General features: G+C 43.2%; 1 annotated feature.

Moving 5' to 3' along the window:
• Window positions 382–1,355: an enhancer, noted in NCBI's record as "H3K27ac-H3K4me1 hESC enhancer chr8:57934309-57935282 (GRCh37/hg19 assembly coordinates)". NCBI's record gives its function as "activates a minimal SCP1, AML or CMV promoter by ChIP-STARR-seq in naive H9 embryonic stem cells {active_cell/tissue: H9 hESC(naive)}" and the evidence as "EXISTENCE:reporter gene assay evidence [ECO:0000049][PMID:30033119]".

The raw sequence follows: 11,322 nt of genomic DNA, 5'->3' as shown, positions 1-11,322 counted from the left end.
ACTAGTGGAGGGAAGGTCAGCAGACAAACAAGTGAACAAAGGTCTCTGGTTTTCCTAGGCAGAGTGTTTGTGTCCCTGGGTACTTGAGATTAGGGAGTGGTGATGACTCTTAAGGAGCCTGCTGCATTCAAGCATCTGTTTAACAAAGCACATCTTGCACCGCCCTTAATCCATTTAACCCTGAGTGGACACAGCACATATTTCAGAGAGCACAGGGTTGGGGGTAAGGTCATAGATCAACAGGATCCCAAGGCAGAAGACTTTTTCTTAGTACTTGTACAGAACAAAATGAAAAGTCTCCCATGTCTACTTCTTTCTACACAGACACGGCAACCATCCGATTTCTCAATCTTTTCCCCCCCTTTCCTGCCTTTCTATTCCACAAAACCGCCATTGTCATCATGGCCCGTTCTCAATGAGCTGTTGGGTACACCTCCCAGATGGGGTGGTGGCCGGGCAGAGAGGCTCCTCACTTCCCAGTAGGGGCGGCCGGGCAGAGGAGCCTCTCAGCTCCCGGACCGGGTGGCTGGCCGGGCGGGGGGCTGACCTCCCCACCTCCCTCCCTGACGGAGTGGCTGGCCAGGTGGCCCCCACCTCCCTCCAGATGGGGCGGCTGGCTGAGCCCCCCACCTCCCTCCCGGATGGGGCGGCTGGCCGGGCGGGGGGCTGACCCCCCCACCTCCCTCCCAGATGGGGTGGCTGGCCGGGAGGGGGCGCTGACCCCCCCCACCTCCCTCCCGGACGGGGCGGCTGGCCGGGCAGAGGGGCTCTTCACTTCCCAGTAGGGGCGGCCGGGCAGAGGCACCCCTCACCTCCCGGACGGGGCGGCTGGCCGGGCAGAGGGGCTCCTGGCTGGGCAGAGGGGCTCCTCACTTCCCAGCAGGGGTGGCCGGGCAGAGGCGCCCCCCACCTCCCGGACGGGGCGGCTGGCCGGGTGGGGGGCTGAGCCCCCCACCTCCCTCCCAGACGGGGCAGCTGGCCGGGCAGGGGGCTGACCCCCCCACCTCCCTCCCGGACGGGGTGGATGCCAGGCGGAGACGCTCCTCATTTCCCAGACGGGGTGGCAGCCAGGTGGAGGGGCTCCTCACTTCTCAGACGGGGCAGTTGCTGGGCGGAGGGTCTCCTCACTTCTCAGACGGGGCGGCCGGGCAGAGACACTCCTCACCTCCCAGACGGGGTCGCGGCCGGGCAGAGGCGCTCCTCACATCCCAGACAGGGCGGCGGGGCAGAGGCTCTCCCCACATCTCAGACGATGGGCTGCCAGGCAGAGACGCTCCTCACTTCCTAGATGGGATGGTGGCCGGGACGAGGCGCTCCTCACTTCCCAGGTGGGATGGCGGCCGGTTAGAGACGCTCCTCACTTTCCAGACTGGGCAGCCAGGCAGAAGGGCTCCTCACATCCCAGACAATGGGCAGCCAGGCAGAGACGCTCCTCACTTCCCAGACGGGGTGGCGGCCGGGCAGAGGCTGCAATCTCCGCACTTTGGGGGGCCAAGGCAGGCGGCTGGGAGGTGGAGGCCGTAGCGAGCCGAGATCACGCCACTGCACTCCAGCCTGGGCACCATTGAGCACTGAGTGAATGAGACTCGGTCTGCAATCCCGGCACCTCGGGAGACCGAGGCTGGCGGATCACTCGCGGCTAGGAGCTGGAGACCAGTCCGGCCAACACAGCGAAACCCCGTCCCCACCAGAAAAACACGACAACCAGTCAGGCGTGGCGGCGCGCGCCTGCAATCGCAGGCACTCGGCAGGCTGAGGCAGGAGAATCAGGCAGGGAGGCTGCAGCGAGCCGAGATGGCAGCAGTACAGTCCAGCTTTGGCCCGGCATGAGAGGGAGACCGTGGAAAGGAGAGGGAGACGGGAGAGGGAGAGGGAGAGGGAGACGGGAGAGGGAGAGGGAGACGGGAGAGGGAGAGGGAGACGGGAGAGCGAGAGGGAGACGGGAGATTCTATTTCTTTTTAATATTGCCCAGTCTAGAGAGCCTATAGCGAGTCTAGACAGTGTCTCATGGAAGTTTGAATTTGCATTTCTCTAATGACTAATGCTATTAAACATCTTTTCATGAGCTTTTGGGCATTCTCTTCTTTTGTAAAATTGCTACTCAAATATTTTATATATTTTTAAAAAAATTGGTTTGTAATCTGAATTGAATTGAATTACTGGAGTTTTTTATATATTCAGAATATAAGAACTTCATCAGATATATGTATTTCAAATATTAATGATTGTTTCTCTAGGTGTGTGGCTTGCTTTTCTGTTTTTTTAACATTCTGCTTTGCAGAGCAGGTTTTAGTTTTGATAAAATTTATCAATGTATTTGTTTTATGGTTTGTGTTTATTGTGTCATAAGAAATCATTGCCTGTCATAAGAAATCATTGCCTTTCATAAGATAGTGAAAATTTATTCCAGGAATTTTCTAGTTTTAGTTTTTGTGTGTAAGACTATGATTTACGTCAAATTTATTTCTTTGTATGGCATTCCATACAATTCAGTTGTTTTAGCACCATTTGTTGAAAGACTATTTTGCCCCATTAAATTATTTTGGCAATTTTGTAAAAATTTGATTGACAAAGTAGTGTAGATCAACTTAAAAATTCTTTATTCTGATTCATTGGCCTATATATTTACTATAATGACCATATCACAGTGACCTGATTATTGTAGCCATATAAGAAGTCTTGAAGTCAGGAAATCACAGTCCTAAATTTTGTTATTATGTTCTTTCTTCTTTTTTCAAAACTCTTTTAGCTTTATTAGGTTCTTTGCATTTTCTACATAAATTTTAAAATCAGCTTGTCAATTTCTATGAAAATATTCCATTGAGAGTTTGATTGAGATTGCACTGAATCTATAGATCAATTTAGAAAACATTGACATTAGAACAATGCCAAGACTTCCAATTAATGAGCATGGTATATCTCTCCATTTGTTTAGATCTTTCATAATTTTTCTCAGGAATATTTTGGCTGGGTGCAGTGGCTCATGCCTGTAATCCCAGCATTTTGGGAGGCCAAGGTGGGCAGATGACCTGAGGTCAGGAGTTCAAGACCAGCTTGGCCAACATGGTGAAACCCTGCCTCTACTAAAAATACAAAAATTAGTCAGGCATGGTGGCGCATGCCTGTAGTCTCAGCTACTCAGGAGGCTGAGGCAGGAGAATTGCTTGAACCAGGGAGGTGGAGGTTGCAGTGAGCTGAGATGCGCCACTGCACTTCAGCCTAGGCGACAAGAGCAAGACTGTCTCAAAAAAAAAAAAAGAAAAAATAAATATTTTGTAGATTTTAGCATACGGATCTTGACCATATTTTGTTAAATTTATGTAAATTTATGTTGATTTTTTGAAGTTACTGAGAATGTTATTTCTTAAATTTTTTTCCCAATCATTTCCAGTATATAGGCATACAATTAATTTTTCTGTATATTGATGTTTCTGTAAAGTTGCTAAATTCATTAATTAGATATAGTTGTTGTTTTGTAGATTCTTTAGAATTTTCTAATATATAATTATATCACCTGCCAATAGCTTTTTTTTTCTTTATTTTTCATCTATAAGTCTTTTATTTATTCTCTTTGCCATATTTAACTGGCCAAGAACCCTAGGACAATATTTATTAGAAGTGTTTAGTAGACATTCTTGTTTTGTTCCCAATTTTAGAGGAAAAAATATATTTTACCAAGAAGTGCTTTTTTAAAAATTTTAATTTAGAGATGGGGTTTTGCTATTTTGGCCAGTCTGGTCTCAAACTCCTGGCCTCAAGTGATCTGCCTGCCTCAGCCTACCAAGAAGTATTATTTCAGCTGCAGATTTTTCATATATGGTCTTCATCAATTTGAAATTGCTTGGGTTTTTGACAGTTTGTGACGTAAGTAGGAAATTAATTTTACCAAATGCATTTTCTTCCTATATTGAAACAATCATATGATTTTCTTTATATTTCATTAATATATAAATTATATTGCTTGATTTTCCAATGTTATAGCAACCTCTCACTTCTTTCACAAATTCTACTTAGTTATAATATATAATCATCTATACATATTACTGGATTCTCCATGACAACTTTGTTAAGGGCTATTTTGTCCATGTTCATCAGTGGTATTGTTCATAGTTTTCTTTTCTTGCAATGCCTTTGTCTGATTTTGCTATCAGAGTCATGATGGATTCATAAAATGAGTTGGAAAGTATCAACTTATATTTTCTGAAGGAGTTTACAGAATTATATTATTTCAATTTAAAAATTTTACTGATTTTAGCTTCTACATTTATTAGTTCCTTCTTTTACTTATTATTAAATTCAAATTGTTGTTTTTTCTAGTTTATGAAGTCAGAAGCTTAGATTATTAATGTTAGTCTTTTTTCTAACAGTAATTTAAAGCTTTACATTTTGCTTTATGCTCTGCTCTACTTATGTCTCACATGTTTTGATATATTGTGCTTTCTTATCATTCAGTTTGAAATTTTTTTAATGTTTCTTGTGATTATTTGACCCATGTGTTATTAAGGTGTGTGTGTGTGTGTGTGTGTGTGTGTGTAACGTTCTAGTGTTTGGATATATTCCATGTATCTTTTGGTTATTGATTTTTAACTTGAATCTGGTATAGTCAGAAAACATTGCCTGTTTAATTTCAATCTTCTTAAATTTAGTGAAAATTTTATTTCTTTCTTCATTATTTTAATGTTTCCTTTAGACTGCTAATTCTGTCACCTATGTCATTCTTAGTCTGACTCTATTAACTGATTTTTCTCCTCTGTATGTGACATTTTTCTGCTTCTTCACCTCTGTACTAATTTTAATTGGGTGCTTATTATTGTTAATATAATGTTGTTTGTCTAGTTTTGTTAACTTCTTTTAAAAATTGTCACATTTTCTTCCGGTAGGCAGTTAATTTAATTGCAGAACAACTTGACCCTTTTGAAACTTGTTTTTAGGTTTGTTAGGATGAGTTTGGATTAGCCTTTACTCTAAAACTACTTTGGTTCTCCTCTTAAGTAATGACAGCTCTTTGGTCTCTACTGAATGTTCTGGTTGTTCAGCATGGTTGCTTTAGCTGGTTGGCTAGAACTCAATATCCACAACCAGCCCAATGTTATCTACAGTAATGTTCTGCCCTGTATAATGTTTCCTTTCTCATTCACTTGGGGTCACTCTATACCTGCAGAACTGAATAATCAGTCAGAAAGTCAAGAGTACTCAATGCAGGTATCTGGAACTGTTTTTCTGCATCATCCCTTTTACTTTGGACTCTTTCTTATGAATTCCTGTCACCTAACCTTCCCCAGCTCAAGGAGGACTCCACATTCTTCTTCCTCTGGGCTAATTCTGTGCCTGCACGGCCCTGGCAGCAAACATCTCTCTAAATTTTGCATCTTCTGGATCTCACTGGACTTTCCCTCATATGGCCCTGTTCCTGCTTCACTCCTTCCTGTGCCAAAATTCACTAAATGCCTGCAGCAGAAAACAGAGATGACCGCAAGCCTCACCTTGCTTACTTCCCTTCTTTTGGGAGTCAGGATCATGAGCTTCCTGTTGTTGAATGTCTGAGAAGTATTGTTTTTATATATTTTGTCCAGGTTTTTTGTTGTTTAGGCAGGAGTGTGAATTAGTCCCTGTTATTCAATCTTGGCCAGAATAAATGTCTCCTAAACCCTATCTTAAAAATCTAAATAAATGATCCAAAGATTTTTCAAATGATGTTAATAAAATCTACAAAAGCAAAATACAAAAGCATCAATAGAAACTCAAGCAATCACGAAACAAGATAAATTCTTCAAACTTATCCCCAATCAGTAATATATAAATTTTTGTTTTAAATCCTTAATGTATTTAAACATATATTTAATAGCAAAATTATGCAGGCATAGTTTTATCTATTTTATAACTTTATTTTATGTAGCTGTTATGATACTCGTATAGTCTAATTTCAGTGCACTTTAACATTTGTTACTTCTTGTGATCCTAATATAAAACCCATGAGATAGGTAGAGTATCGCTAAACCTGGAAAATAGGTATCTTAATTCCAAATCATTATCAGACTAAACAAATACAATAGATTTAAAAGGCTCTAAAGTCTTTCTGGTTCATATAAATTACCATACTTTGCAGAAACTGCAAATAATAGGGAAGACCAGTAAAACTGAAAGAGGCAGCTGAGGGTTTACATTGAAATAATACTTGAATATCTGCCCGTCTAGGGGGTTTGTCACTTTTCAAATATAAATATAAATGCAGGACATGAGAGTAGATGAGCCTTTACAGGGAAAAACAAAAAGAGGAGTTGTCTAACACCTTAATTCATCTTTTGCAATATTCCTAAGTCAGAAAACACAATAAACATAATAAAAATAATGGTAGCTTTTAATTAGGTACCTGCTGTATGATCAGCTCTGTATTAAGCACTCGTTATAGAATTTAATTCTCACATCAATGCATGTGGTAGCTATTATTACTAGCCACTTTTACAGATGCACAAACTAAAGCTTAGAGGGATTAAGAACCCAACTGAAGTTTATGTAGTTTAAAACTGAGTGAGCCTTCATATGATCCAACTTGAATTTCTGACTTTAAAGCCCACACTCTTAACCATAATTATATCACTACCTCATTAGAAACAAAACAAAACAAAACCCTGCCTTATGGCTTCATGTTGAGACAGAGGTTCTTAATTTTTTCTTTGCCACATTCCTGTTTATGTTAATGATCATAGGGTTTATCATGAAGCTCATATGACCCAAGCAATATTAAGTTGATTTTAAAAACTATCTCATGGAAAACTTGGCAAAGGGTGAAAGAAAAGTAGCCAATTCAAATGCATAAGGATATATGTTTCACAGATTTGAAAAAAATCAAAGTGATTTCTGGTTTCAATAATTTCTGAGCATGCCAATTCCCGAACCCTTATATTGTAAAGCCCCCCAGTGTTGAATAAAATATAACAATGACCTTTAATGCATATCTGAGATAGCAGGAGTTAAAGGAAATAGCCAGAAAGGAAGATCAATATGCCAGATTATATATGTCTATCAAGATATTAAAATCAGTATGAACTGTTGGTTCTCTATTTGAAAATCAAACCTAAAGAAACAATAGAAAGGAAAAAGAAGAGGAGTTGAGAAATTAAAAAAAAAAAGGGCTGAAATCAGTCTGGACTTGTGAGTGGATGGGCAGCTACATCTTGGTTGAAGGATGGCCTCAGTCTCACAGTCTGTACCTTGGTGACAGCAGTGAGAGGAAAGCTTAGAGAAAGGCTTTAAGCTATAGTCTGGTCTCTTCCTGAGCTGTCTAGGGGCAAGCGTCACTTTCTGCACTCAACAGAAATTAAAGACAAAAGCCCCAGATTACTGGTGTTCATAGAGTAATACCAGGGCAGTGCAAAGCCTGAGATCACAGGTGAGCCACATCAGGCATTCTCTCCTCTAAGCTCTCTTTTCAAATCCCCAGGGAGGGTGAATCAAAACCCAGGAGATTGTATTCCCTCCATCCATCTTCCTTATGTGTTGTCAGTGGAGTGATTGCAAATCAGAATTGCAAAGAGTGGTTCTGCGGTTCTTGGGGCTCTTTGCCCTGGCACTGATCCCCTCCTCTCTCCTTAATCTCAATGGAAGGGATCCAGACTGGGGTTTGGTCTCCTGTCCTTCCTCAAGAAACTTTGCCAGACATAGTAGCTGATACATCATATTATCATGTATCAGAATATGACTTTGTGAGCTAAAATATCTAAATACCAGATGGATACAAATACTATAAAAGAAAGACAACAAGTTGAACTACATATAATACACAAAGCAGAATTCTGATCAATCCTAATAAATAATTATCAATATGCTTAAGGCAATAAACAAAGAAGTTAGTACTATGAAGAAAGAATATGAGCAGTTAGTACAGAAGCTAATTATGCAGAGACTGGTGGAGCATTATTAGACTAGAAAATGGGTGGGCATTGATATTTACATACACACAAGCGCCCTCTCATCGAGGGCTGCACTTTTGTGGCTGAGAAAAACAGTTCACTAAACTCAGGGAAATGTTTTCTTTCTGAGTTAGGGTAGAAAAAAGTTACCTTTTAAAAATTCCAGAAATGAGTATCCATACTCTGCATGATGTGAGAAATTCCAAGCTGAAAAATCAACGAAAAAAATGTTCCTTTATTAGTGATACTGATGGCAGCAGGGGCCATCTGGAGCGGCCACTGCCATCATGCCAGCTGTAGCAAGGAGGCACAGCTGGGGCTGCACACTCCGTGGAGCTGGCAACAAGTGGGAGCCCCACCCCTTCCAAGTTGGTGGAGCAGGAGCTCCCAAGGTGCAGCCGCAGCCGCTCCAAACACAGCTGCTGACCCAGGCCTCCCACTCCGTAGAGCTGGCAGGACTGCTGCAGCTGCCCGAACCTCAGCTGCAGACCCAGGCCTCCTGCTCCACAGAGCAGGCAGGACCCCCATCCCCCCAGGCATAGCGGCAGCTGCCCAAATTGTGGCTGCAAACCCAGGCATGCCTGCACTCTTGGGAGCTCGGGAAGGACCCCTGCCCTCGCTGGCTCAGAAATGCCTGTTCCCACTGCCTGGCTTCTCCCTGCTGTCAGCACCTGTTCTGATGTCAGAGCAAAGTCAGGGCTGATCTTGGGCACTGTGACAGCCCCATGGGGTGTGCACATGCTCAGGGCAGAGCTGACATGCCAGTCCCTGCCGCCTTGTCCCCCTCCAGATTTTGGGCGCCAATGAGCATAGGAGGGAAGCCGCGGAGGGTCTGAGGGCAGCTCACACTGGCCTGCAGGCGCCCCTTGGCACCTACAGCCTCGGCACCATGAACAGCAGCAGGAGATAGACAGGTTCCTGGGTAGAAGGGGGCAGGTCCCCAGTGAGCCTCCACCTTCAGGCCAGGGAGGGCCTGAAAGCTGGGGGCTGGGCTGCCAGTGCCACAGACCAGTGTGGAGATATGTGGTGCCTTTTCCAGGCCTGCCCATGACCACCCATGGGCCAATCAGTGTGCACTTCCTCCCCTCTGAGGCCCAGAGAAGCCCCAGCTCAGCCAGAGCTGGTCAGACGACAGGATGAGCTGGGGCAGAGAGGAGCTACCAACTCCAGGGCCTCCTCTCTGCTGAGAGCTGCAGAGATGACTGGATGACCTCCCTGCAGAGAGGATCTTCCCACTCCAAGTCTCCTCTCTGCTAGGAGCTGAACACTCATCAGGACATCCTGTCTGCGGAAAGGAGCTGCCCCCTGTGGGAGGCTGAGCTGTTCCATTGCTCAATAAATCTCCTCTTCGTCTTGGTCACCCTCCACTTGGCTGCATACCTCATTCTTCCTGGGTGCAAAACAAGAACTTGGGACCATCGAATGGCAGGACTAAAAGAGCTGTAACACAAACAGGGCTGGAACATGTTCCTTGCTCACCATGTTGCAGGTGAAGAGGAGAGAAGAGCTGTGGTCCTTCAGGGACCCCAGACCCGGGGGCTCCCGAAGCCAGGGCTGTGATTCCCTCTTTGGGGCCCTATGGTTCCTGGCATCTCCAAGCTTCTGGGTGCCACCGGGTTTCCAATGCCAGTCGTGGAAGCTGCTTCCAGTGCACCTAGTCTGGCTGCATCCTTGCAGAGAGCCTGAGCCCATGCTAGCACCTGGAGTTGCCTGCCCCGCTGCAGCAGCTGGCATGTCTGACTGCACAGTGGCCAGACCCCATGCTTGCTCACACACCCGTCACAACTCCATGCCTGACTCACCCTTGGCAGGTGTGGGACCCAGGCCAGTAGTATAAGCCAAGCACGGCCTGACAGGCCAAGTGGGCGAAAAAAGCCCAGGGGGCTTGAGCAAAACTTGGGCAAAGGCACCACGGGTCACAAAGGTTTCTAGCCAGAAAAATGACACCTCGAAGATCCTGTAACAACACCCCTGAAGAATCTGGCAGAAGTGAATGTAAAACTCCTCCTATAGTCCAGAGTACATGAGAATCTAATAGACAAACCTCTACTGAAGATACACTTAAGATAAAATATTATTAAAAACTTGAGGAAACAGTCACCATGAGCAAGAGTCAGCAGACTTACCACCTCAAGGGCGTGTAACTACAGAAACAAACTAAAAAGATGATTTTAAAAGCCTATGTTGAAAATAATTTAAAATAACAGAAATATTCGAGACCTAAGAAATATTTTATTCTTTCTTATGAGATAGTTTTTAAAGTCAACTTACCAAAGTATAAAAAAGGGGAAAAAGAATAGAATGCTAGTAATAAAACATATAGCTAGTAAAATTAAAAAATAAATGGATTTATTAATAGCAGATTGGGTTATAAATTGATGGAATTATCCAAAATATAACCCAAGATTTATTAGAATGAAACTATTACAGAAAGGTAGAGACTAGGTAGAGATAAGATCTATCATATATATGTATAACTAGAGCCCCAGAAGAAGAGGCTGTAAATCATTGAGAAAACAGATGTATTTGAAGATAGAATGTCAAATAAATACTTTTCAAAAGTTACTGGAAGACAATCCTTAGATTCAAGAAACACACAGTTTTTTTTTCTAAAATCTTTTTATTATTATTATTTTTGTTTTTATTATTATACTTAAAGTTCTAGGGTACATGTGCACAACATGCAGGTTTCTTACACATGTATACATGTGCCATGTTGGTGTGCTGCACCCATTAACTCGTCATTTACATCAGGTATATCTCCTAATGCTATCCCTCCCCGCTCCCCCAACCCCACGACAGGCCCCAGTGTGTGATGTTCCCCATCCTGTGTCCAAGTGTTCTCATTGTTCAATTCCCACCTATGAGTGAGAGCATGCAGAAGAAACACGCAGTTTTAAACAAGATGAAAATAATCCACATTTGGTGGTACTTATACACCATGGAATACTAGGCAGTCATAAAAAGAACAAGATCATGTCTTTTGTGGGAACATGGATGGAGCTGGAGGCCATTATCTTTAGCAAACTAATGCAGGAACAGAAAACCAAATACCACATGTTCTCTCTTATCAGTGGGAGCTACATAATGAGAAACTCATGGGCACAAAGGACAGAACAGACACTGGGCCCACCTTAAGGGTGGAGGGTGGGAGGAGGGAGAGGAGCGGAAAAAATAACTATTGAGTACTAGGCTTAGTACCTGGAAGATAAAATAATCTGTAAAACAAACCCCTGTCACATGAGTTTACCTATATAAAAAACCTGCACATGTACCTCCAAACCTAAAATAAAAATAAAATAAAAAAGAAAGCAAGATTAAAGAAAAAAAAGAAGGAAAAAAAATCCACATTTAGAATATGATGAAACTACAGGACAACAAAGAAGAAAAATATTAAAGAAACCAGAGTGA

The sequence above is a fragment of the Homo sapiens genome, chromosome 8 (genome assembly GCF_000001405.40).
Source record: "Homo sapiens chromosome 8, GRCh38.p14 Primary Assembly".
Taxonomy (NCBI): domain Eukaryota; kingdom Metazoa; phylum Chordata; class Mammalia; order Primates; family Hominidae; genus Homo; species Homo sapiens.
The sequence above is the reverse complement of the archived record's forward strand: the minus strand, read 5'-3'. Positions and strand labels throughout refer to the sequence as shown.